We start from the raw sequence: 25,549 nt of genomic DNA, 5'->3' as shown, positions 1-25,549 counted from the left end.
CACCACACCAGGCCCGCGTGATGTATATTTTAAGACCTCTTTTGCTGGTGGAGGACAGGCTTTGTGTGAGGGGGAGGGATAAACAGTGGGAGCAAGGGGGCCAATTAGAAGGGTGTTGGGGAGGCTCAGGGGAGATGGTGGCTCAGGATGATGGGCTGGGTTTGGACAGGGTGTGGAGGGGCTTGCAGGTGGATGGTGGAGGAGTGTAACGAAGGTTTCTGGGTGAGCCCTGGAGGGAACAGATGAGATCACGCCATTGCATAATAAGGTGTTCCTTACTGTGGGGTAGCGGACCAGGCAGGGAACAACCTGGGAGGAATCAAATTTTATTTTGGACATGTTACTTCTGAAAGGCTAACAGACTTCCAGGCAGAAAGGTCCTTGAGGGAAACGTTCTAGGGGTCTCTCTGGGAGGCTTAGATCAAGGAGCTGAGACCAAAAGGAGAATGGGAGGGAGGAGACGAGTACAATAGAGTTGGAGCCAAGGTCCTAGAGGCGGATAGGTGGATTCCTGAGGGAGGAGGAAGGGGCTGAGGTTGCTGGAGCCTGGCAGCTTCTTCCGGAGCCATTGGCAGGACTGATGCAAACAGCTCTGGGTGGGAAGAGGGAACCAGGATATCCTCCTGTGTCCTTCCTTTTCTGCAGTCATCCTGGGTGGCTGCCAGATGGAATTCCTTGGATATCATTGCTTGGAGGTCCCCTGCATGCCTGAAGAAGGACATGGTGGAGAGCAGGATGCCTGGATCCCATGGGGGAAGGGAAGTGCCCAGGAAAGCACGAAGCCCCAGGGGGAGCTTTCAGTGCGGGGGTGAGTGGGGAGGCTGGGGTAGTAGCTGACACTGTCCCAGCTGCATCCCAGGTTTGAAAAGCACCTCCTCCCTCAGCGCAGGCATCCTGCCTCCCAACCCTGTAATTACGGTGCTTCCCAACGCCCATCGCGTGGTTTGCTCCCATTCTTTGGCTTCCAATAGTTGCAAGGGATGAAGGTGGACATCTCTGTGATTACGGAGATGCCAAGTGGGTATTGACTGCTCCAGGATGTGGATGGAGGGTGTGAAAACCAGGGTGGGGTGACGCAGGCTCTGGGTCATGATAGGGAGAGCAGGCAGCTGGGTCCTGGGCTGGAGGACTAAAATAAGGGACGCCACCTTCAGGGGTGACACATCAGCCCAGGCCTTCCCAACGGGTTTGACCAGTTCTGTTCTGATGGTATTCCTGTGCCACTGGGCTGGTCCCTCCTCCACTCCTCCCCTATAAAGCCTCTTGGGGTTCCCAGGCACCCAGACTCAGCCCACCCCAGCTTTGGGGGCCAGTACATAGCCATGATCCTCAACTGGAAGCTCCTGGGGATCCTGGTCCTTTGCCTGCACACCAGAGGTGAGGTGGGAACAGAGGCAGGGACTGCAGTTTGGGGTGATGAGGGATACTCAAGATGGCGGAGGTGAACTGGACGCATGGGGTTGGGGACAGGAATTCAGGGGACGCAGAAGGTGCATCTGGCTCACCAGAAATGGCTTTCTGGACACATTGGGTGGGGGACATGGTGCAGAAGGTGCATTTGGCTCTCACCAGAAATGGTTTGCTGGCTCCATGTGGCAAAGTCGGTCAGGATTAACGTGGGGGGGACGAGTTTCCTCGGAGCTGGGATCTGTGTTAAGGAGCTGGGGTCCTTGTAAAGCTGGGGTCTGTGTGCCTGGGGGCCAAGGTGTAACCCACTTTGGGTTGCAGGTTGGCCTGAGGACAAAGCTAGTGGGGTACCCCAACCAGGGGTGGATGGAGCTTATTTGGAGAAGTCTGGTCAGTTTAAAGTGGGTCAAGTGAACGGTTCAGATCCATCGGGGGTAGGGGTTCATGACATTTTACCATCAGTTAAGTATTTACAAACCTACCGAGAGCTCTTTGAGAGTGACTTTTTTGGTCTGTTTGTGGGTCAGTTCAGGCTGCGTCCATCCAGACAGGCTCCTCCTCCTGGGGCTGGGGCTGGGTGGGGCTGGGGAGAGAAGCCCTCACCACCTCTTACCTTTCTCCTTCCTCCTTTACAGGCATCTCAGGCAGCGAGGGCCACCCCTCTCACCCACCCGCAGAGGACCGAGAGGAGGCAGGCTCCCCAACATTGCCTCAGGGCCCCCCAGTCCCCGGTGACCCTTGGCCAGGGGCACCCCCTCTCTTTGAAGATCCTCCGCCTACCCGCCCCAGTCGTCCCTGGAGAGACCTGCCTGAAACTGGAGTCTGGCTCCCTGAACCGCCTAGAACGGATCCTCCTCAACCTCCCCGGCCTGACGACCCTTGGCCGGCAGGACCCCAGCCCCCAGAAAACCCCTGGCCTCCTGCCCCTGAGGTGGACAACCGACCTCAGGAGGAGCCAGACCTAGACCCACCCCGGGAAGAGTACAGATAATGGAGTCCCCTCAGCCGTTCTGTTCCCAGGCATCTCCAGGCACCCACGCCCTCTCCACCCTCTGATTCCCCGTGAATTCTTCCCAATTTAGCCTGTCTCCTTAAACCTCTTCCTCATTCCCTCGGTTTTATTCTGAACCCGTAAGGTGGTGTTCTCAATATTTCCTGTCCCCTCCTGAGATCCATACTTAGTCCTCACATCGCCCGTTTTTTCCTCTGACAGCCTAAGCCTACTCTCCTACCTCGCCTCCAGGCCTCGGCCGCACCTACCTCCCACCCGGTCTTCCTGCCCGCGCGATCGCTGGGGCAGGGCTATGGTACTGTGTTCCCTTCTGCCACCTGGTGGCCGGCGGCAGGAACTATCAGTAGACAGCTGCTGCTTCCATGAAACGGAAAAATAAAAATCATGTTTTCTTAATTCTGAATCTAGGCTGCTGCTTTAACTAACACTTAGGGTCTTTTTTATTTATTTTTATTTATTTGTTTTTTTCTTTTTTTGAGACGAAGTCTCGCTCTGTCGCCCAGGCTGGAGTACAGTGGCACGATCTCGGCTCACTGCAAGCTCCGCCTCCCGGGTTCACGCTATTCTGCCTCAGCCTCCCGAGTAGCTGGGACTACAGGCGCCCGCCACCACGCCAGGCTAATTTTTTGTATTTTTTAGTAGAGGCGGGGTTTCACCGTGTTAGCCAGAGTGGTCTCGATCTCCTGACCTCGTGATCTGCCCGCCTGGGCCTCCCAAAGTGCTGGGATTACACGCGTGAGCCACAGCGCCCGGCCTCTTTCTTCTTTTTCTTTCTTTTTTTTTTAGACGGAGTCTCACTCTATGCCCAGGCTGGAGTGCAATGGCACGATCTCGGCTCACTGCAACCTCCGCCTCCCGGGTTCAAGCCATTCTCCTGCCTCAGCCTTCTGAGTAGCTGGGATTACAGGTGCGCACCACCATGCCCGGCTAATTTTTGTATTTTAGTAGAGATGGGGTTTCACCATGTTGGCCAGGCTGGTCTCGAACTCCTGACATCGTGATCTGCCCACCTCGGCCTCCCAAAGGGCTGGGATTACAGGCGTGAGCCACCGTGCCCGGCCAACACTTATGTTTTTGACTATTAGGATGCCCTCTTCACAGTCCTAAACTTACGGAGACCTGGAAGTAACTTGAGTTCCTATCTTGCCCATGTCCAGCATGTAAGGCTCTGGGGCTTAGCAGGAGGAGGGTTGGAAATGTCACTATGCAAGTCACAATAACATTCAGGCCCACATTTCTCCCTTTCTGAGAACACTATATTAAAGAATGGGAAGGCAAGTTTCATCTCTGTTTAATGGCCTATGGCTTGGATACCCCTAGTGGTATATGCAAACCTTCCCAGGGGTGTGTCGGCAGGACCAGTTTTAAGGGAATCAGTTTCCAGATTAATATGTGCCCCCCGCTAGAATGAATCTCCTGCTTGTCCTGGGCCTGACCAGAGTGCCCTTCCCAGAGCCGCCAAAGGTCAATAGGAAACAAATCAACCTTTCCCATCTCATTAAGAGATTCATTTTCTTTCTTTTCTTTTTTTTTTTTTTTGAGACGTATTATCTCTCTGTCGCCCAGGCTGGAGTGCAGTGGCACGACAGATATCAGCTCACTGCAACCTTCGCCTCCTGGATTCAAGTGATTCTCCTGCCTCAACCTCCCGAGTAGCTGGGATTACAGGTGTGTGCCACCACACCCAGATAAGTTTTCTATTTTTAGTAGAGATGGGATTTTGCCATGTTGGCCAGGCTGGTCTCGAATTCCTGATCTCATGGGATCTGCTTGCCCTGGCCTCCCAAAGTGCTAGGATTACAGGTGTAAACCACCACGCCTGGCCAAGAGATGCATTTTCAATAAGTTACTTTTCATGTCTTTTTGTGTGTTTGTTTGAGACAGGGTCTCCATCTGTCATCCAGGCTGGAGTGCAGTGGCACGATCATGGCTCGTATAGCTTCAACCTCCTGGGCTCAAGCAATCCTCCTATCTCAGCCTCTGGCGTAGCTGAGACTACAGGTGCACCACCCCTGACTAATTTTTTGTATTTGTTTAGTTTAGTTTTGTTTTGTTTTTAGAGATGGGGTTTTACCGTGTTGCCCGGGCTTGTCTCAAACTCCGGAGCTCAAGTGATCGGCCCATCTTGGCCTCCCAAAGTGCTGAGATTACAGGCACGAGCCACCGCGCCTGACCAACTTTTTATGTTTAATCCTTGTGAATATTCCTAGTTTTGGTTAACTGCAATAATTGCAATACAAATAGAATAACTGTTTCTAACACTTGTTCAAGGGCTTGTTCACGTATTTTTTAAAAGGATGCTAACAGATATGAAAGTTCTATGGCATTATATTCAATTTGCTACACTTAGAGTGACGTGCAGTCTCCGACAGACTGAGCACAACAAATTGTTTTTAATTTTAAAAACTGACATGGCCAGGCATGGTGGCTCACGCCTGTAATCCCAGCATTTGGGAGGCTGAGGTAGGCAGATCACTTGAGGTCAGCAATTCAAGACCAGCCTGGACAATGGTGAAACTCTGTCTCTACTAAAAATACAAAAAACTTAGCTGGGCATCCCAGCTACTCGGGAAGCTAGGGCATGAGAATTGCTTGAACCTGGGAGGCAGAGGTTGCAGTGAGCCGAGATCGCACCACTGCACTCCAGCCTGGGAGACAGAGTGAGACTCCATCTCAAAAATAATAAATAAATAAATAAATACATAAATAGTGATGTGATTTTTAACATGTATTTGCAATTCCTTGAAAAGCATACCCTTTGGAATGCTATTAAATTATTACAAATGTTAAATGTTGACTTAAAAATGTGCAAGGGGCTGGGCAAGGTGGCTCATGCCTGTAATACCAGCACTTCGGGAGGCCGAATCGGGTGGATTGCTTGTGGCCAGGAGTTTGAGACCAGCCTAGGCAACATGGCAAAACTGTTTCTACAGAAAATTTAAGAAATTAGCCAGATGTGGTGGCCCGCACCTGTAGTCCCAGCTACTCAGGAGGCTGAGGTGGGAAGATTGCTTGACCCTGGGAGGTTGAGGCTATAGTGAGCCAAGATGGCACCACTGCACTCCAGTCTGGGCAACAGAGTGAGACCGTGTCTCAAAACAATACAAATGTGCAAGGGACATAGTTTTTCAAAATCCTTTAAAGAGGCAATCAGGTTAGAAGGACAGGAGCTCAGAGATCCCAATGGTCTACTGTCAATCAAGTATCCGACCAGGGTTAGGGATGAAGAGGGGTTAAAAGAAACTGAGGTTGCATAACCTTAAATTTCACCACTTAGAACCCAGTTTGCTTATGTGGTAACTCTCATTAAAAACTACATATGAGAGGCCAGGCGCGGTGGCTCACGCCTGTAATCCCAGCACTTCGGGAGGCCAAGGCGGGCGAATCACGAGGTCAGGAGATCGAGACCATCCTGGCTAACATGGTGAAACCCAGTCTCTACTAAAAAATACAAAAAAAATTAGCCGGGCATGGTGGCCGGCGCCTGTAGTCCCAGCTACTCGGGAGGCTGAGACAGGAGAATGGCGTGAACCTGGGAGGTGGAGCTTGCAGTGAGCCGAGATCGTGCCACTGCACTCCAGCCTGGGCGACAGAGCGAGACTCCATCTCAAAAAAACAAACAAATAAAAAACCAAAAAACTACACATGAGATCAGGCGTGGTGGCTCACACCTGTAATCCTAGCACTTTGGGAGGCTGAGGCGGGTGGATTACCTGAGGTCAGGAGTTCGAGACCAGCCTCACCAACATGGTGAATCCCTGTCTCTACTAAAAATACAAAAAAATTAGCTGGGCATGGTGGCGGGCGCCTGTAATCCCAGCTTCTCAGGAGGCTGAGGCAGGAGAATCCATTGAACCTGGGAGGCAGAGGTTGCGGTGAGCCAAGATCGTGCCACTGCACTGCAGCCTGGGCGACAGAGCAAGACCCCATCTCAGAAAACAAAAAACAAAAAAAAACTACATGTGGTCCGAATGAAACAAAACTAAGCTTAGGGTTTAGGAATAATCTGAGAACACATAAGAATTGTAGGTTGAGCCTAGTAGAATTAAATAGGCCCCAAGCTGGACTGGATTCACCCATTCATTCATTCATTATCTTACTTCCTCAATGTGTCCACGAATGCCGGGTGCCATGGGAGAATATAAGAATATAAATAATAAAAATATGTAGTTTCTACTCAGAACTTAAAATTGAGAGAGACAGAATTTACAGGCAAGTTTAAATAACATCAAAGACAGTAAAAATGCATATTTCCTAATAATGACATGAGCGAGCGCCAACGTAATAGCCTTGGCAGTAAACGCCGTGAGTTCAGAAGAGTCACGGTGAGCTGGACTAGTCAGGGGAGGCTTCTGGGAGGAGGGCCCGGAGCGGGACCTGAGAGAAGAACAGGCAGTGTGTCTGGAGGATGGACCAGGAAGGGCAGACCCGGAGCCTCATACAGGGTGCAGGTACAAAAGCTGCCCCCAGGTGATGAGCTCTCGTGGCCAGAACCACCAGCTCTAGGGACCAGCCCTTGCGCGTATGTGCATCAGCCTTCGTGTGTGCTGTTCCCTATGTCTGGAATGGCCGTCCTCTCCCAAACCAGCTGCATTTCTCCTCAGGGATGCCTCTGCCTACACCACTCCTTCCCGCACCCCACCCGACCCCCAACGCCCTTCACCCCAGTCACCCTATGGCAATGATTTATTCATGTCTGTCTTCCCTTCCCAGGCCATGAACCTTGTGGGGCAGGGACTGTGTTCTACGCATTTCTTCTTGAACCCCTTTACCATTTTTGTGCCTACGGACTCCCAGAGTGCTAAATCACTCCCAACAGCCCCGCCTATGCCTCTGCCGGGACCTTTTCCAGGGGCAGAGAGCTGGAAGCACTTGGAAATTTTTCTCTCCCACATCCTCACATGCCACCACCCTCCCACTCCCCCAGCCCGCCCCCAGACCTTAACCAACGGTGGACAAATATGAAGGTGTCAGTACCCCAGCCCTCCATGAGACTTAGCTTGGTTCCACTCATGTGCTTGGGTCCCACTTTCCCACTCCCTTTCCACTCCTCCCCACCCTCATTACTTTTTTTTTTTTTTAAGACAGGGTCTCACTCTGTCACCCAGGCTAAAGTGCAGTGGCACAATCATAACTCATTGCAGTCTCAACCTCCTGGGCTCAAGTGGTCCTCCTGCCTCAGCCTTCTGAGTAGCTGGTACTATAGATGCACTCCACTCACTGGGCTAATTTTTTAATTTCTTGCAGAAATGATGTCTTGCCATGTTGCCCAGGCTGGTCTGGAACTCCTGGACTCAAGCAATCTTCCTGCCTTGGCCTCCCAAAGCACTGGGATTACAGGTGTGAGCCATCATGCCCAGTCCCCTCATTACTTTTATTTATTTATTTATTTATTTATTCAATTTTTGAGACGGAGTCTCCCTCTCGTTGCCCAGACTGGAATGCAGTGGTGTGATCTCAGCCCACTGCAATCTCCGCCTCCTGAGTTCAAGCGATTCTCCTGCCTCTGCTTCCTGAGTAGCTGGGATTACAGGCATGCGCCACTATGCCCAGCTAATTTTTGTATTTTTAGTAGAAACAGGGTTTCACCATGTTGGCCAGGCTGGTCTCAAACTCCTGACCTCAGGTGATCTGCCCGCCTTGGCCTCCCAAAGTGTCGAGATTACAGGCATGAGCCACTGTGCCTGGCCTATTTATTTTTGAGACAGTTCTCACTCTGTTGCCCAGGCTGGAGTACAGTGGCACGATCACAGCTCACTGAAGCCTGGACCCAAGCGATCCTCCCACCTAAGCCTCCCAAGTAGCTGGATCACAGGCGCATGCCACCACGTCTGGCTAATTTTTTTTGTAGAGATTGGGTCTTACTATATTGCCCAACCTGGTCTCAAACTCCTGAGCTCAAGAAACCCTCCTGCCTCCGCCTCTCAAAGTGTTGGGATTATAGGCGTGAGCCACCCTGCCCAACTTCTCATTAGTTTTAAATAAATCTCTTTTACTTGAATCTTTGTCTCAGGGCCTGCTTCTGGGGAATCCAACCTAGGATGCAAAGTATTTGCTACACACTATTGCAACTACTTTCTACTGCGCATGTGCCATAGGGCACTGTTGGTAAATGCTCTACAGCTTAAGCTCTCGTTTAATTTGCATAACAATGCTATCATGATCATTTCACAGAAGACAGAAACAGGCCTAGAGAGGTACAGTGACCCATGCAAGGTCACACAGGGGACAAATGGCAGAACTGGGATTTCAATTTAGGTCTGTGCTATGCTAACAACACTGATTTTAACCACTACATCATCCCAGCTCTTTTTTTTTTTTTTTTTTTTTTTGAGACGGAGTCTTGCTCTTTTCACCCAGGCTAGAGTGCAATGGCACGATCTTGGCTCACTGCAACCTCCGCCTCCTGGGTTAAAGCAATTCTCCTGCCTCAGCCTCCCACATGGCTGGGATTACAGGCACCCGCCACCATACCTGGCTAATTTTTGTAGTTTTTTTTTAGTAGACACGGGGTTTCACCATGTTGGCCAGGCTGGTCTTGAACTCCCGACCTCGTGATCCACCAGCCTTGGCTTCCCAAAGTGCTGGGATTACAAGCATAAGCCACCGCGCCTGGCCCATCCCAGCTCTTTATTCATCTGTGTAACCCTGACAGAGAATACAGTGCCTGGGCCGTCATGCACACTTAATGTGTGTTTTGTGAAAGGCTAAATTATTTAATGAAGGGCCCAATTAACAAAGAGTAGATCGGAATGATTGGAGTAAAATAACCCGAAGAAGAGAGAGACATGTTGGAGAGACAGGTCGGGGGAAAATTAGGGAAGATCTTGGTGCCAAGTGCAGGAGCTCATATCTGAAAGTCTCTCTCCTCTATCAGAACTGTGCCTGGGCCTGGGCAACATAACAAGACCCTGTCTCTGAACAAACAAAATAAGTTAGCTGAACATGGTAGGGCGCACCTGTAATCCCAGCTATTCCAGAGGCTGAGGTGGAAGATTGCTTGAGCTCAGGAGGTCAAAGCCAGCCTGGGCAACACAGCAAGACCCCATCTCTAAAAAAAAAAAAAATTAAAATTAAAAAAGGGCCAGGCACAGTGGCTCACACCTGTAATCCTAGCACTTTGGGAGGCCAAGGCAGGAGGATCGCTTGAGCTCAGGAGTTTGATACCAGTGTGGGCAACATAGTGTGACCTCACCTCTACAAAAAAAATGTTTAACATTTGGCCAGGTTGCCAGGCGCAGTGGCTCACGCTTGTAATCCCAGCACTTTGGGAGGCCGAGGTGGGCGGATCGCGAGGTCAGGAGATCGAGACCACGGTGAAACCCTGTCTCTACTAAAAATACAAAAAAAATTAGCCGGGAGTGGTGGCGGGCGCCTGTAGTCCCAGCTACTCGGGAGGCTGAGGTAGGAGAATGGCGTGAACCCGGGAGGCGGACGTTGCAGTGAGCCGAGGTCGCACCACTGCACTCCAGCCTGGACGACAGAGTGAGACTCCATCTCAAAAAAAAAAAACAAACAATTAGCCAGGCCATGGTAGTGCATGCCTGTAGTCCCAGCTACTCAGCAGGAAGATCACCTGAGCATGAGAGGTTGAAGCTGGAGTGAGATATGATTGCACCACTGCACTCCAGCTTGGATGACAGAGCTGTCTCAGAAAAAAAAAAAAAATTGTGCCTAGGGTGGGGAGAAACACATACATCTCTGGGTATACTGTGGCAGGAAGCTAAGGATAGAAAGGAAGAAGGAGGTCTGGACCCCTCAAACTGACCCTCAAGCCAATAACGTGGAATTAGTTAGGAGGAAAAAAAATTAATTAATTAATTAATTTTTTATTTTTTGAGACAGGTTCTTGCTCTGTCGCCCAGGCTGGACAGTGCAGAGGTGCAGTTACAGCTCACTGCAGCCTTGACCTCCTGGGCTCAAGGGATCCTCCTACCACAGCGTCCTGAGTAGCTGGGACCACAGGCATGTGCCACCATGTCCAGCTAAGAGAAATTCTTAAAGAAGAGAGAAAGGAGGGAAAGGAACTGAGCCCCTGATGTTGTCTAGGGAAAAAGCTGGGGCTCTTTACAGCATGCTGCCTTCTTTAATTCCACAGCACTATGTGGGTTTCCATGCCTTTATTTCCTTGGAAAGTATGAGCTTCTTGAAGACAGCAACTGTGCCTTGTCTTTCTTTGTATCCCTTCCTTCTCTCCTAGTACCCAGCCTAGAAGGCACTCAATAAAGCAAATGATTAGCCCCATTTCACAGAAGAGGAACCAACACTGAGAGAGGTAACTCACCTGTGCAAGTCATATCACAAGTGCCAAAGTCAAGACTGGATGGAGGACTGCCTGGCTGCAAACCAATTCTTCCCAGGCTGACATGGCAGGTAGGTGAGTGGGAAAGAGAAGGGGGAGGCATGAGGCAATTGGAGATTTTAGTACCTATTAATAGGCAGTGGATTTTGGCACTCAAACAGGCTGTCTTCATTAGCTGGGGAGGAGACTGAGTGGGCCTGGATGGTATGGAGGTATTTGCAGAGGGAAACCCATTGTGCTGGCTTATCCATTCAGATTAGACAATGCTGGTTCCTCTCTACCTGCCTTGGCTAAGCTCACCTAGGAGTAAATGCCCCAGGGACACCGTCACGTCTATGTCAACACAGAGTCACGGAATTAAATAACAGAATAGGATCACAGATTTACAGAACAATAGCCCAGAACCTTGGACATGACAGATAGTTATTAAATGCTTGGCCAATGAAAAAAAAAGAACCTAGAACTAGTATCACGGTAAAATCTAATTATACAAGCTAAGTTACCTTGAGAAAGCACCAGGCACAGCCCTGAGCCTTGGGCAGCGAATGATGTCTTTGGACTAGACAGAAGAGATGGTTGTCTGCCCTGCTTTGAAGCTCTCTGGCCAGGGAAACTCCAAACCATTCATTTGTTCATCCATTTGCCCACACAATCAACATTCATTGAGCATCTGCTCTGTGGGGTGCTATGTGATGGTGACAGTCCCAGGAAGCAGTTTCAGTCCTCCCTGCCCTCAAGGGGCTCTGTGTTTAGGGAGGACAAACATATACATCATGACAATAAAATTTGATAAAAAGTTAAATTAGAGAGGGGGCAAACCCTGACGTAGGAGCCCAGGAGGGACTCCTAACTTCTCTGCCAATTTCATGTTTCAAAATTATTAGACCCAAGACTCGCTTTGGTATAAACTTAAGCTCTCTTACTGTACATTTTTCTTCTCCTGCTAATCTTTAATTAAGTGCCCACCAGGTGCCTGGCACTGAATCAAAACTCAAAAAACTTGCTGAATTAAGCCAAATGCACCTCCTGTGGGTTTTTCCCCCTAATATCCTCAGAGGCAGTAATCAATTCCCTCCCCAAATTCCCCAGTCCCCACCCCATCCCCACCTTTCCTTTTGCAGTATAATCTCAACTCCTGTGATGGGGGCAGGCAGGATAGCATGGTAGTGAGATCAACAGACTGTGACTTGGGTTCTTGTCGCTACTTAGCCATTCGTTCTCTATGTGACCTTGGGATGGGACTTTAGGGGGATTTCTTTAATAACCTCTAAACTCCCGTGCAATGCTGAGAGCCAAGGTAGCGGCTCTCAGGTCTTGTTCCAAGAACTGCCACCAGAGGGCAGCCTAGAGACTCCTCTCAGGTGTTTTCCTCCAGAGCCTTTGCTCTTTCCCTCACTAATGTCATCCACTCCCTGGGTCCACCATCAAGGCACACAGGTGTCCCTTTAGCCGTCAAGGTGACCGTTCTAAGGTGAGCCAGGCATGTGAGGCGAGGCGAGACAGGCTCTGAAGCCCTCAGGAAAATTCAGGCACAGGCTGCCTGTCCAAGTGGACCTCACGATCATCATTTACACATTCTCTCCCTGATTATTTCATGAGCCAGCGGTCTACAGGAGAGGATACCACAGCCAGTCAAAGGGATCAGGGCCCTGCCCTCAGGGAGCTGCCTTCCAGTGAGGGAGGAGAGAGATACACAGATGCTTACAAGGTATCTGTAGTAGGATGTCACCTAGTGATGAATGGTGTGACGCAGCTTAGGCAGAGCGAGGAAATAGGGATGGTCCCAAACGTGTGTGTGTATGTGTGTTTTTTTGAGACAGAGTTTCGCTCTTGTCGCCCAGGCTGGAGTGCAGTGGTGCGATCTCAGCTCACTGCAACCTCTACCTCCCGGGTTCAAGTGATTCTCCTGTCTCAGCCTCCCGGGTAGCTGGGATTACAAGTGTTCACCACCACACCCGGCTAATTTTTGTATTTTTAGTAGAGATGGGGTTTCATCATGTTGGCCAGGCTGGGCTACGAGCGAAACTCCATCTCAAAATAATAATAATAATAATAATAATAATAATTCCTGTCTCCTAGGGTCATTGAGAGAATGGAGATCAGTCCTGCATGGGCAGACCTCGGCACCGAGCTGAATGTTACACACTGCCAAGGAGTCGGCGCCGGTCTCTGGTGAAGATGTTCTAGTCCCAGGGCCCAAGAGAACAGAGCGGGACACGAGATGCCTCTCTAACAGGAGTCTGTGTTTCCTGGTCACCTCTGTGTGCTGGGTGATGCCTCAGGTGCCAGGGAGACACTGGGCAGTAGGAGAAGCTCCCTCCTGTGAGGACTCTCACCCAGAGGCACTCAGACAGCCCAGAACACAGGAGGGAAGATGGGCCACCACAGTCCCATTCCTAGGCGCTCCAAGGGCCAGCCCAGCCTAGAAGTCCCTCCTGGTACAAGTCTTTCCGGCCTCTCCTCTCCCGAGAGCACGTTCAGACTGCACCCTGGCGCTCTCTTTCACCCTGTCGAGGAAGCTGTGACTCTAATTCTGGGTGACCAGTAACAATAAAAACCACTAATAGCCCTAGTGGAAAGAATGACTATTTAACAGGTGCACATAATGAGCAGACAAGGAGAGCTCTTTTCCCTCACACTCACTCCGCAGGACAGAGAGGGGAACAGTCTTGCTACTGTGACAGCTAATCACAGCCTCTGTGTGCCTCCCTCCTCGCAAGATAAGAGGGGTGGCCTCAGGGTGTGACGGAAACAGCCAGGAAGGCTTCGGCCAGGGAGCGACTGCCCTACAGCTGACTCCCTGCTGCTTTTGGGAAGTGGGGGTGAAGGGAAAAGACTCAGGGGAGCGGGGGGAAGAAAGCTTGGTGGGCAGAACCCCACTTGCCAAATTCCTCCTCTTTCAGGATTCAGTGGCCAAAGGTGAGCCTGGCTCTGGCCCCAGTCTTCACTCCCAAGTGCCGGCTGCAGTGCCCTGGGCCCGTCGGAGGCTGGCAGGGCTGCTGGGAGGGTGAGGACAGGCATGGGAAGAGTGGAAAGTGGGGGCTGACCCAGCCAAGCTCCAGGAGGCCATTCCATAGAGGAGAGAGCCATTGGACCAGGAGCCAAGCAGGGAAGAAGGAAGGAAAGGTAGAGCCGAGCACCGCCCACACCAGGAATAATCTCAGGAAGAGGATGGTGTGGACAGGCCCCAGGACAGGGCTTCTCAGCTAGGGGCAACTCGTTATGCTGCAGTGGGGGCACCTAACAGAACCCCCTAGGGTTTTTTTAAAGTATACAGCACGGTCCTGCCCACCACTGGCATCAGATGAATGCCATGTCCAGGGGAAACCCCAGTACGTCCTCATCACAGCCATGTGAACACTGCTGTTTGTTCATAAAAATGTGTTGCATCCCTAGGGGGAAATAAAAGGAGCTAATCCAATAGAGAGAAGAGTGGCTCAGGGGAGACAGTCACCCGTGAGGAATGAGGGCAGGACACACAGGCCCAGGCCGAGATTGCACAGGGTGTTGCATGAGTGGCTGTGTCAGAGCCAAGTGCACATGCCCACTGCCACCTCCGCCAAGGCCATCAGTGAATCCCTCCAGCACCTACAGGGGCTTTGCACATAAGAGCTGTGCTTGCAGGGGGTGGGGGGTGGGCACAGGGCAGGAAACCAGAGAGGAGGGCACCATGTCCCTGAGTAAGGTAGAAAGGGGAAGCACAGCCTGGACACATTCTTCCATTCTTTTATTTCAAAATATCACCAAGTGCCTGCCACAGCTATGTGCTGGGAACTCAGTGAACGCACCTGTGCTTTGCCCACTGGCATGGAGCCCACGGTCCGGGGGTGATGGTTTCTGTTGCATTTCAAAGCCACTGGGGCGCTGCATAGATGGCTGGCTGCAGAGTCTATTTGAGACGAAGGCAAGAAGTCAGGGCTCACGGACTGTAGATTCCACCCTTGATCGTCTACTACAGGAAAGAAGCCACAGAAGTGAGGGGGTATTCCCAACAGGAAGGCAGAGAAGGAGAGATTAAAACTGAGTCAAGAAGTGTAGCCAGTCCCATAGGAGCACCTGGGCTGAGGAGGGTCAGTCTTCGCAGAGATGTTCGGAACACCTGATTGGGGATGTGCCCTCTCCTTCTATGTTCTTGGTCACCAGAGGAACCAGGTGAAGAGTGTGGATGACTCAGTCCACCCCTCCCCGCACAGGAAAAACAACTCAGAGGACATCCCCTACTGGGAGTGGGCCAGGAGCGCTGGCTTCCACGCCAAGGAGAGGAGGGTGTTGTTGTGGCTGCAGAGGTGAGTCCACAGGGAAGCGTGGGTGTCATGGAGAAAGAGAGAGGAGAGGAAACGGCCTCTCGCTGGAGCCAAGCAGAGAGGAACAAAGGAGGGGAGGAGCCCACAGGCCCTGGAGCCCCAGAGCAGCTCTGGGTGGCCCCTTTCCTTCTCTCCTCAGCACAAAATAAGCTGCTTTTCCAGGCTTTTTCTCTTCCTCGTGCTCACTCCATTTTCCTTCTTCCAAGCCTAAGCCCTGGTCTACCAAGGACCCCTATGTGAAACACTTGTGCTAGAACTTCTGTCCTGACTCTCAGGCCCCCAGAGGAGGAAAGCTGTGGAGGAGGGACCTCATGAGCCAGTAACCTTCACTTAAGAATTCTTCACTTTTTTTTTTTGAGACGGAGTCTCACTCTGTCACCCAGGCTGGAGTGCAGTGGCATGAAATCGGCTCACTGCAGCCTCCGCCTCGCCGGTTCAAATGATTCTCCTGCCTCAGCCTCCTGAGTAGCTGGGATTACAGGTGCCTGCCCCCGCACCCGGCTAATTTTTGTATTTTTAGTAGAGATGGTTTTGCCATGTTGGCCAGGCTGGTTTCAAATTCCTGAGCTCAAGTGATCCACCTGCCTTGGCCTCCCAGAGTGCTGGGATTACAGGCGTGAGCCACCATACCTGGCCAGCTTTGACAGCAGAAATCTTCTCTCTAGAAATATTCATATACATAAGGAATTTTGCACACATCCTTACAGGGTTTAGGGAGCCTCTTAAGCCTGTCCATGAACCTCTGCCATTCATTTATAGCATGGTGTCAGCTGCAGAGTAATAGGATCTATGTGGGCCTGGAAGTCCAACAGGCCTGGGTTTGAATCTTTTTCAAACATTTTTGCTTGTTAGCAGCTGGTTTGGACAAATAATTTCAACTTAGTTTTCTCATCTGTGAAACAGGGGGAAAAAGCACTTACCCTGTAGGGCTGTTGTGAAGATTGAACAAGACAACTCATGTTAAATACCCAGGCACCGTGTCCGCCTGCAGCAGGCAGTCAGTACATGGTGGATCTCGTGCCCCAAGCCTCCTCTTTATGGAGTCCCTCAACTTGCCCCAGCTGGCCTCGGATTCCTCCCACCTCCACCTCCTGGGTAGCTGGGACTATAGCACGCCATGCTTCAGCCCCCTTTGTGATCATTCAAAGCCGTTTGGTTCCCTGCACCCTCTCACATTTACTGCAATTCCTATAGAATCCAAATTCTTTTAACCTGGTGTTGTAGGTCATCTACAATCCTGATCCAAGCAGCCTGTCCCTTCTCCCACACCACTGTCCTCCACATGCATGTCCCACACCAACCCACGCCATCCGCTGGTTCTAAATACACCTGAAGCACCACAAGGCCCCACGTCTGGCTGCCTGCTCTGTGCTTCTCTCATCATTCCTCAAGGCCCGGGGAAAGTCCTGCCACCTCCCTGAAGCCAAGTGCCTACCCGCTTCTCCACTCTAGGCTGCTGTCTTACGCTGTGTGTCCCCAGCTGGATGGCAGCTCCTCAGGGCAAGGAACAATTTCTCTTCTTTCTCAGTGCAACTTCCAAAACACAGCAGAGGAGCGTGCACTGGGGGCCAAGGCTGGCACAGCAAACACAGCAGCACAGGGCTGCTGGAGGGGTGGAGGGGACCAGAGGGGACAGTGACCTGCCTGCTTCATGATACATGGCTGGGAGCCCCACCTTTTGCCTATGGAAGGCATGTGCTTTGAGCTTGATTTTCTCGGGTGTAGAGTGTCTACGCCACCCACACTTTCTCACCCGGTCCAATGCACGGGCACGGGCAGGGGCAGGGCCAGAATCTGTTGCTGTAGAACACAGCAGAGCTGCCTGCACTACTGTGGACGTCACCAAACTGGCAGCTTCACTGAAGGTGACCCTGGCCTGTGTGGGCACTCAGCTGATGCCCTTTTCTTCCCTCCTAAGCCCCATTAGCTTTAGGTCTCCACCACCTGCACTGAGAGAAAGATTAATGGTGAGCACCAGAGTAAAATCTAGCACAGAAGGCAGGGTTTCAGTAAAAAACCAAAAGCACGGCGGATTAGAGCTCAAGGGCCCACAGGTGGGCAGGACAGTAGAGGAACTGGGCAGCCCAGGGTGGCAGGATGGGGTGGACAGGAGTGGACAGGAGAGAGTAGCCAGGAGGAGGGACGTGGCTGCACCGCCAGTCCACGTGGGCGGCTGGAGACCTGGCAGGAGGCCAGGAGAGACTGTGCCTCCTCCAGCCTGGCTGTCTTGGCCAAGTTCTGACGGCAGCCAGGAGGAATGTGACAAAGAAAACAAGACAAACTTTGCTACCTCTGGCTGGTCAGGGGAAGTTTGTGTTGGAAAAGAAGAAGCCACAGATTCCACTGTTCCGCTGCCTTCTCCCCTCACACCCTGGGACGGCCCAGCACCTTCTAGTCCACTCCTCCCTGCCCTCTGCCACTCCCCTCATTACCCCAGTGCCCCCTCCCTCCTTGCCCAGGTCCTCCAGGGAGCCAAGCCTGAGAGTCTAGGGAGGCCCACAGGAGGAAATGATGTTCGGAAAGAGCAGCATCACTTTATTTTTTGAGACGGAGTTTCCCTTTTGTCACCCAGGCTGGAGTGCAATGGTGCAATCTTGGCTCACTGCAACCTCTGCCTCCAGGGTTCAAGTGATTCTCCTGCCTCAGCCTCCCGAGTAGCAGGGATTACAGGCGCCCACCACCACGCCTGGCTAATTTTTTTTGTATTTTTGGTAGAGACGGGGTTTCGCCATGTTGGCCAGGCTGATCTCGAACTCCTGGCCTCAAGTGATCCGCCCGCATCGGCCTCCCATAGTGCTGGGATTACAAGCGTGAGCCACCGTGCCCAGCCGAGCAGCATCACTTTAAATGGTATCTCTGTCTCACATTTGTGCCTGCACCTCTATACAAGGCAGGAAGGGAGCAGAAGACACTCTGCTAGCATTGGCTGGGCTGGAGACTCAGGAAAGGGAGCCTGGGGCTGTGGGGGTGAAGCTGGCCTATTTGTCTCCCCCAGTGGAAGGATGAAGACAGGAGCACCTGCAGGGCTCCATTTGCTGGGCTTCCTACTGGGGGACTGCACCCCTTGTCCCATTTAACCTTTTTGATAATTTCCCATTTGATGTTCACAAAAACCTTGTGAAATAAGTGTTATTTAAAATACCCCCATTTCACAGATGAGGAGATGGAAGTTCAGAAAGGTTTGAAGAGCCGCCCAAAGCCAAGAGGTTAGCTGGGACTTGAACCCACGTCATCTTCATTCTGAAGCCAGTGTTTTTTGTTTGTTTGTTTTTCCCAAGGCATTAGCCCCCTTCAGGGGACCCTGTCCTATCCCTTCCTCTCTCCACAGCTCCCTCAGCCCCTCTTTCCTCCCACTCCCATTCTGAGTGTCACTAGCAAGTCAAGAGCAAGACTAGATGGCAGCCACTAGCTGCACGTGGCCAACCACATCATTACAATTAATTAAAATTAAAGCTCCAAATCTTTGGTGGTTAAACTTGCTCCATGTGGCCAGTGGCTACCGTATCGGACAGCACAGACAGGAAACATTTCCATCCTCCTGCTGGTCTGAACTTAAAGGGCGGTCAGGAGGTAGAGGGAATGGGAGAGACCAGGCCAAGGGGCCCAGGGACAGAGCTGCCTTTGTGAGGAGATGAGGTTTGGGAAGTGAGTTTGGGTGAGGGGAGCAGGGGTGTCTGAGGCCTGGGGGAGGAGAGGGCAGCTTGCTGGACTCCCAGGCACCTCCCTCCGATACTGATACTCCCGCAATACTAGTGAGCAATTAATTGGCTGGGGCGGGGCAGGGGCCAGAGCAGGAGGGAGGCCAACGCAATGGAGGAGAAGCCACCACCCTCTCAGCAGATGGCAGGGCTCCGGTTCTCCTGGCCTCCTTTCATCCTTTGAGGACCCGGGAGCCTGCCTGGCCCTCCTCGACCTGCCCAGAGCTGGCTGCTGCTTCCTGCTCGCTCATCCAGCCCAGGGCCAGCAGATGGGCTATGGGGCCACCACCTTCCCAATTAGCCTTCTTAGCCTCTTGCTCACCCTTGAGGTCTGGGTTACCAGCCATGGGGAGGGGCTGTGAGTGCCCTGTGAGTAACCAAGGCCCAGCTTTGACAGAGGTCATCAGCCCAGGCCCCTCCCCTGGCTGAGCCCTGGCTCCCAGCACCCCCCCACCCCCGCCACCATGCCGTCCCCAGAGGCCCCCAGAAGCGACAGGTCAGGGAGTTGGTTTTGGGAATGTGGTGCCCCATTTCTGAGAAGGAGAAAGTTCCCCAGGTGATGGAACACGTAATAGGTATGTGGCTGGCCTGGTACTTGGGGAGTGGTGGGAGGGGGAGCCTGGGGGATGGGGGCAGAACTCATATTTGAAGGAGGAAAGTGGAGGTGGAGTGATGGGGTCCTAAGGAAGGAGCAGATCAGGGGCTGTGAATGGGACCTCATTGGGGTTGGGTGGGTGGGGCTGGAGCGGGCACCCAAGTGTGGAAGAAAAAGCTGAAACACCCACGACTGCGAGTGGAGGGCAGATGGAGAGACAGGCCAAGCTACGGTAGGCAGGAGAGTTAAGGAGCCAGGCAGCTGGGTCCCGTGGCAAGAGTGGCCGCCCCAGAGTGGGTGGCCGTGGGGCAGAGCGCCTGGTTCCGGGTTAGGCAATGAGGAGCCGGGGCCAGGCCTGTCAGGTGGCAGGATCGTTAGAGCCCCGTGGCCATGGGTACCCCACACTGCAGCCACTGCTGCTGCTGAGTAGGCAGATGCACCGGGCTGATTACCACGCTCCTCCCGGCCACACCAACTTCCCCTGGGGCACCCACCCCCTCCACCTCTCCTCCTCTCCCCACAGTGACTCCTGCCCAGGGAATGTCCAGCTCTGGCATAAAGGACCCGGGTGTCCTTGAGCTGCCATCAGTCAGGAGGCCGTGCAGTCCGAGATGGGCTCGTCTCGGGCACCCTGGATGGGGCGTGTGGGTGGGCACGGGATGATGGCACTGCTGCTGGCTGGTCTCCTCCTGCCAGGTAGGAGGCTGGGGGCCCTGGGAACAGGAGGGAGGCGGGAGGGAGACTCCGGGAGAGGACCCAGCGAAGGGGACAGGCAGGGGCTCTGGAATCTGCCTTTTGAGTCTGGGGGTTGCTCCTCACTGTATGGTCGCCTCAGGTAAGTTTCTTAAACTTCCTGAGCCCCAGTTTCTGAAACTCTGAAGTGGGGTTAATGACACCTAACTCTAGTCTGTGTGTCTCAAATTAAATAATGTATGTGATATGTACTTTGGAAATTCTAGAGGTTTATATAAATGGTGGTGGTGATTTTTATTATGGGAGCACTACAAGATAATGATTGGACATTTAATAGTAATAATATCATTTTTAGAGCCTTTTTATATGCTAGACTCTGTTTTAAGCACATTTGGATTATATATTAGAACTTTTATTTTTATTTTTTTTTGTGAGATGGAGTCCCACTCTGTCTCCAAGGCTGGAGTGCAGTGGCGTAATCTCGGCTCACTGCAACTTCCACCTCTCAGGTTCAAGCGACTCTCATGCCTCAGCCTCTAGAGTAGCTGGGACTACAGGTGCCCATCACCACACCTGGCTAATTTTCTTTTTTTTGTATTTTTAGTAGAAACAGGGTTTCACCATTTTGGTCAAGCTGGTCTTGAACTCCTGACTCAAGTGATCCGCTCGCCTCAGCCTCCCAAGGTGCTGGGATTACAGGCATGAGCCACCACACCCGGCCTATATTAGCACTTTTGATCATTACAAGAACGGTATGAAAGGAGATTTGCTATTTCCACTCTACAGATGAGGACACTGAGGCTCAGAGAAGTTAGGAAAGTAGCTCAAGATCATGCATTAGAAGGCAGCAAAGCCAAGATTTCAACCCCAGGCCGGGCAACCCCTGGACCTGTGTTGTTGACCACCGGGTACTTATAGCCCTTGAGGAATTTCTGCGACCTTCCCATGGTCTAGTGGGTGGTTGGTGTCTGAGGGAATAGCGAAAGAGAGAGGCAATGCATGGTGGATTCGTGCAGAGGACTGAAGGGAATTGGCACAGCTGGGGTTCGGCGTGGAGGTGCATGCAGAGAATTTCTTTCTGAGGAGAGAACAGGGACATCACAGAGGATGGCAGTCTGGTTGTTGGTGGAGGGATCAGGATGAGTGGCAGTAATAATTCATAATATATAATGCTTTACACTTTCTAAAACATCTGGCCGCACATGATAGCTTGTGCCTGTAATCCCAACATTTCAGGAGGCCAAGGCAGGTGAATCGCCTGAGGTTAGGAGTTCAAGACCAGCCTGGCCAAGATGGTGAAACCCCCTCTCTACTAAAAATACAAAAAATTAGCTGGGTGTGGTGGCGGGCACCTGTGGTCCCAGCTACTTGGGAGGCTGAGGCAGGAGAATCGCTTGCACCAAGGAGGCAGAGGTTACAGTGAGCTGAGACCGTGTTATTGCACTTTAGCCTGGGCAACAAGAAACTCCATCTCACAAAAAAAAAAAAAAAAAAGAAGAAGAAGAAAAAACTTCCAGGTGGATGATCTCATTTAGTTTTCTTCATAGTAATGCTGTGGGAAGGCAGGGAAAATTTGGCCCCTCTGAATGTATAAACTAAAGCTCAGAGAGGTTCAGTAACTTGCTAGTATGTGGCTCTGTTTGTAACACGTGGGACCTGGAGGGGCTAGGGAAGGCAGAAGGAACGCAGGTGAAAGAGTCATGGAGGAACCACGGGGTAAGTTGGGCCTGGGGTTTTGAGCAAAGGAAAGGAAAGATAAGGAAAGATGTGGCTCCACATCCCTGAGGGAAGTCAAGGCAGCAGAAGTCAGATGAGGGGCTGGACAGAGGCAGGTGTGCTCAGAGAGGGAAGCTGATTGTGGCCAGGAGCCTCGGAGGTTCGTGGGGTTTCGTCCTGGTTCCCTGGGCTGGGCCAGCGAGAGCAGGGCTGGCTCAGGGTGCGGTGTCCTGACACACTGGTACCAGCAGGTTCTGAAGCAACAGGTAGTGACCCCACATCCTGGCCCCCACCCAGCTTTACTGGCATGGCCAGTGCTGAGATAGGAAATAGGGTTTCCATTCCTGACCCCAGCCTGGGCTCTCACGAAGAAGCTGGTGACCAAATCTTAGTCCTCGAGTGCCCTTTCCTTTATTTCAGCCCCTCTGCCCCCAGCTTTGTCTTTTTCCAGTGTCTCCTTCTATATGTGTCTCCACTTCTCAGCCCTCCATTGTTTTGCCTTTTGTCTTCTTCCCTTTGGTCCCACTGTCTGGCCCAGGATTTTTCCCCTAAGAATTTACGCCTGGACTCCTCAGAGCCTCAGTTTCCCCAATTCTCTGTCTCTTCAGGGTCCTTTCTTTTAGACCTACTTGTTCCTGCCCCTTCTCCATTCCCTCTTCTTTTTAAAAAAAATTTTAATTAAAAAACAAAATACAGACGGGGTCTATGTTGCCCAGGCTGGTCTTGAACTCTGGGGCGCATGCAATCCTCCCACCTCGGCCTCCCAAAGTGCTGGGATTACCGGCGTGAGCCACTGTGCCCAGCCCCCTCTTATATTCAATGTATTCCTTTGAGGCCACTCACTTTGGCACCTAATTTTCTATTTTTCTGGTTGGTGTTTGCCCACCCTTCCCAAACAAAGAAATGCCTTTATTCGGCCACCTCAATATCCTTTAGAGACAATAGCCAGTTCTTCCTCCTTTCTCCATCCCTAAACTCTCCCTGCGCTCTGCTTGGGAGAAACCCGAGAGGCCGATGACTGAGATAAGGCAGAAAGGTGAGGGAGGAAGCCAAGCCTCCTTGGCCCTTACTAACCACTGCTTTCCTCCACAGGGACCTTGGCTAAGAGCATTGGCACCTTCTCAGACCCTTGTAAGGACCCCACGCGTATCACCTCCCCTAACGACCCCTGCCTCACTGGGAAGGGTGACTCCAGCGGTTTCAGTAGCTACAGTGGCTCCAGCAGTTCTGGCAGCTCCATTTCCAGTGCCAGAAGCTCTGGTGGTGGCTCCAGTGGTAGCTCCAGCGGATCCAGCATTGCCCAGGGTGGTTCTGCAGGATCTTTTAAGCCAGGAACGGGGTATTCCCAGGTCAGCTACTCCTCCGGATCTGGCTCTAGTCTACAAGGTGCATCCGGTTCCTCCCAGCTGGGGAGCAGCAGCTCTCACTCGGGAAACAGCGGCTCTCACTCGGGAAGCAGCAGCTCTCATTCGAGCAGCAGCAGCAGCTTTCAGTTCAGCAGCAGCAGCTTCCAAGTAGGGAATGGCTCTGCTCTGCCAACCAATGACAACTCTTACCGCGGAATACTAAACCCTTCCCAGCCTGGACAAAGCTCTTCCTCTTCCCAGACCTTTGGGGTATCCAGCAGTGGCCAAAGCGTCAGCTCCAACCAGCGTCCCTGTAGTTCGGACATCCCCGACTCTCCCTGCAGTGGAGGGCCCATCGTCTCGCACTCCGGCCCCTACATCCCCAGCTCCCACTCTGTGTCAGGGGGTCAGAGGCCTGTGGTGGTGGTGGTGGACCAGCACGGTTCTGGTGCCCCTGGAGTGGTTCAAGGTCCCCCCTGTAGCAATGGTGGCCTTCCAGGCAAGCCCTGTCCCCCAATCACCTCTGTAGACAAATCCTATGGTGGCTACGAGGTGGTGGGTGGCTCCTCTGACAGTTATCTGGTTCCAGGCATGACCTACAGTAAGGGTAAAATCTACCCTGTGGGCTACTTCACCAAAGAGAACCCTGTGAAAGGCTCTCCAGGGGTCCCTTCCTTTGCAGCTGGGCCCCCCATCTCTGAGGGCAAATACTTCTCCAGCAACCCCATCATCCCCAGCCAGTCGGCAGCTTCCTCGGCCATTGCATTCCAGCCAGTGGGGACTGGTGGGGTCCAGCTCTGTGGAGGCGGCTCCACGGGCTCCAAGGGACCCTGCTCTCCCTCCAGTTCTCGAGTCCCCAGCAGTTCTAGCATTTCCAGCAGCTCCGGTTTACCCTACCATCCCTGCGGCAGTGCTTCCCAGAGCCCCTGCTCCCCACCAGGCACCGGCTCCTTCAGCAGCAGCTCCAGTTCCCAATCCAGTGGCAAAATCATCCTTCAGCCTTGTGGCAGCAAGTCCAGCTCTTCTGGTCACCCTTGCATGTCTGTCTCCTCCTTGACACTGACTGGGGGCCCCGATGGCTCTCCCCATCCTGATCCCTCCGCTGGTGCCAAGCCCTGTGGCTCCAGCAGTGCTGGAAAGATCCCCTGCCGCTCCATCCGGGATATCCTAGCCCAAGTGAAGCCTCTGGGGCCCCAGCTAGCTGACCCTGAAGTTTTCCTACCCCAAGGAGAGTTACTCAACAGTCCATAAGAAGTCAACTGTTGTGTGTGTGCATGCCTTGGGCACAAACAAGCACATACACTATATCCCATATGGGAGAAGTCCAGTGCCCAGGCATAGGGTTAGCTCAGTTTCCCTCCTTCCCAAAAGAGTGGTTCTGCTTTCTCCACTACCCCAAGGTTGCAGACTCTCTCTTATCACCCCTTCCTCCTTCCTCTTCTCAAAATGGTAGATTCAAAGCTCCTCTCTTGATTCTCTCCTACTGTTTAAATTCCCATTCCACCACAGTGCCCCTCAGCCAGATCACCACCCCTTACAATTCCCTCTACTGTGTGGAAATGGTCCATTGAGTAACACCCCCATCAGCTTCTCAACTGGGAAACCCCTGAAATGCTCTCAGAGCACCTCTGACGCCTGAAGAAGTTATACCTTCCTCTTCCCCTTTACCAAATAAAGCAAAGTCAAACCATCATCTGGAAACAGTGGCCACTTTTCACTGACCTTTCTTCGACATCTAGTCAACCCACCCAATATGCCACTGGGCTCTCGCTCCCAATTCCACCCCACCCTCCATTACAGAGCTCACCACGCCCTCCTAGATCACCGTCCCCAACACACCCATTGCCTCTCAAGGCCCTTATCTCAGCCCCTTCCTGTGGCCACTTCCCTCAGTGCTCAGATGATTCCCTGGGTGAGGGAGACACTGGGGCACCCTCAGAGGTTGAAGCAGGCTCCCTGCTGTCCCTGGATCCTGGACAGATGGCTCAGTAAACTGTGGGGACTAGGTGCAGACTTTTTGCCTTCTTGGAGTCCTGGGTCTCCTCTGAGAGTCTGGGTGGTGCTCTTCCTACGCCTCTAGAGGTCTCTGTGTTCCTCATTTTCCTTCAAAAGCGGGCTGTGTTTCTCTTCTACCTTCCAGCTGCTCCCACAGAGGAGGAAGACAATAAATATTTGTTGAACTGAAAGCAGAGATTGCCTGGCCTCCCAGATCCTTCCGCCATTTCCCTCCTCTCTCATTGCTCCAGGAAATCCATTCTCTTCCCATTCCTCATTCACCGTGGGGTCCCCCTTCCCCTTATTTAGGGCCCTCAGTGTTTCCTCTCCCTCCCCTCCCCTCCCCTCCCCACCCAAACTCCTTTTCTTCCACCATTAGCATTCCTCACCTTCTAGATGCCATCCTCTCTGGGAGTCATGAGTCTCGATTTCCTGGGTTTCTGGGACACCTGGAAGCTTGGGAAGGCTGGGACACAACAAC

General features: G+C 52.3%; 3 protein-coding genes across 3 annotated transcripts, besides 5 other annotated features; 2 read left to right on the top strand and 1 right to left on the bottom strand.

Moving 5' to 3' along the window:
* Nucleotides 257-25,549, bottom strand: PSORS1C1 (psoriasis susceptibility 1 candidate 1). Its single transcript, NM_014068.3, has 6 exons — nt 25,458-25,549; nt 14,510-14,673; nt 10,704-10,780; nt 1,890-1,919; nt 1,570-1,693; nt 257-708 (listed from the first exon to the last, which is right to left on the bottom strand). The coding sequence occupies exons 3-6, from the start codon at nt 10,714-10,716 to the stop codon at nt 417-419; spliced, it is 459 nt and encodes a 152-aa protein (NP_054787.2). The 5' UTR covers nt 10,717-10,780; nt 14,510-14,673; nt 25,458-25,549; the 3' UTR covers nt 257-416.
* PSORS1C2 (psoriasis susceptibility 1 candidate 2) lies at nt 1,283-2,815 on the top strand. The gene is made up of 2 exons (NM_014069.3): nt 1,283-1,377; nt 2,043-2,815. Exons 1-2 carry the CDS (start codon nt 1,323-1,325, stop codon nt 2,396-2,398), a joined length of 411 nt encoding a protein of 136 aa, NP_054788.2. The 5' UTR covers nt 1,283-1,322; the 3' UTR covers nt 2,399-2,815.
* Nucleotides 1,783-2,763: an enhancer, noted in NCBI's record as "H3K4me1 hESC enhancer chr6:31105363-31106343 (GRCh37/hg19 assembly coordinates)". NCBI's record gives its function as "activates a minimal SCP1, AML or CMV promoter by ChIP-STARR-seq in naive H9 embryonic stem cells {active_cell/tissue: H9 hESC(naive)}" and the evidence as "EXISTENCE:reporter gene assay evidence [ECO:0000049][PMID:30033119]".
* Nucleotides 13,157-13,756: an enhancer, noted in NCBI's record as "H3K4me1 hESC enhancer chr6:31094370-31094969 (GRCh37/hg19 assembly coordinates)". NCBI's record gives its function as "activates a minimal SCP1, AML or CMV promoter by ChIP-STARR-seq in primed H9 embryonic stem cells {active_cell/tissue: H9 hESC(primed)}" and the evidence as "EXISTENCE:reporter gene assay evidence [ECO:0000049][PMID:30033119]".
* Nucleotides 13,757-14,357: an enhancer, noted in NCBI's record as "H3K4me1 hESC enhancer chr6:31093769-31094369 (GRCh37/hg19 assembly coordinates)". NCBI's record gives its function as "activates a minimal SCP1, AML or CMV promoter by ChIP-STARR-seq in primed H9 embryonic stem cells {active_cell/tissue: H9 hESC(primed)}" and the evidence as "EXISTENCE:reporter gene assay evidence [ECO:0000049][PMID:30033119]".
* Nucleotides 14,358-14,958: an enhancer, noted in NCBI's record as "H3K27ac-H3K4me1 hESC enhancer chr6:31093168-31093768 (GRCh37/hg19 assembly coordinates)". NCBI's record gives its function as "activates a minimal SCP1, AML or CMV promoter by ChIP-STARR-seq in naive H9 embryonic stem cells {active_cell/tissue: H9 hESC(naive)}" and the evidence as "EXISTENCE:reporter gene assay evidence [ECO:0000049][PMID:30033119]".
* CDSN (corneodesmosin) lies at nt 19,903-25,262 on the top strand. The gene is made up of 2 exons (NM_001264.5): nt 19,903-20,014; nt 22,820-25,262. Exons 1-2 carry the CDS (start codon nt 19,930-19,932, stop codon nt 24,322-24,324), a joined length of 1,590 nt encoding a protein of 529 aa, NP_001255.4. The 5' UTR covers nt 19,903-19,929; the 3' UTR covers nt 24,325-25,262.
* Nucleotides 22,740-23,609: an enhancer, noted in NCBI's record as "H3K4me1 hESC enhancer chr6:31084517-31085386 (GRCh37/hg19 assembly coordinates)". NCBI's record gives its function as "activates a minimal SCP1, AML or CMV promoter by ChIP-STARR-seq in naive H9 embryonic stem cells {active_cell/tissue: H9 hESC(naive)}" and the evidence as "EXISTENCE:reporter gene assay evidence [ECO:0000049][PMID:30033119]".

Source organism: Homo sapiens, chromosome 6 (assembly GCF_000001405.40).
Source record: "Homo sapiens chromosome 6, GRCh38.p14 Primary Assembly".
Classification (NCBI taxonomy): Eukaryota; Metazoa; Chordata; class Mammalia; order Primates; family Hominidae; genus Homo; species Homo sapiens.
This window is presented reverse-complemented; position numbering and strand designations above follow the sequence as displayed.

Coding starts and splice junctions, on each gene's coding strand:
- PSORS1C2 (NM_014069.3), top strand. CDS start 1,323: ATGATCCTCAACTGGAAGCTCCTGGGGATCCTGGTCCTTTGCCTGCAC. Junction 1,378..2,042: donor CCTTTGCCTGCACACCAGAG/GTGAGGTGGGAA, acceptor CCTCCTTTACAG/GCATCTCAGGCAGCGAGGGC.
- PSORS1C1 (NM_014068.3), bottom strand. Junction 1,694..1,889: donor TCACTCTCAAAGAGCTCTCG/GTAGGTTTGTAA, acceptor CTTGGCCCCCAG/GCACACAGACCCCAGCTTTA. Junction 709..1,569: donor GAGCCAGCAAACCATTTCTG/GTGAGAGCCAAA, acceptor GTCCTTCTTCAG/GCATGCAGGGGACCTCCAAG.
- CDSN (NM_001264.5), top strand. CDS start 19,930: ATGGGCTCGTCTCGGGCACCCTGGATGGGGCGTGTGGGTGGGCACGGG. Junction 20,015..22,819: donor GGCTGGTCTCCTCCTGCCAG/GTAGGAGGCTGG, acceptor TTTCCTCCACAG/GGACCTTGGCTAAGAGCATT.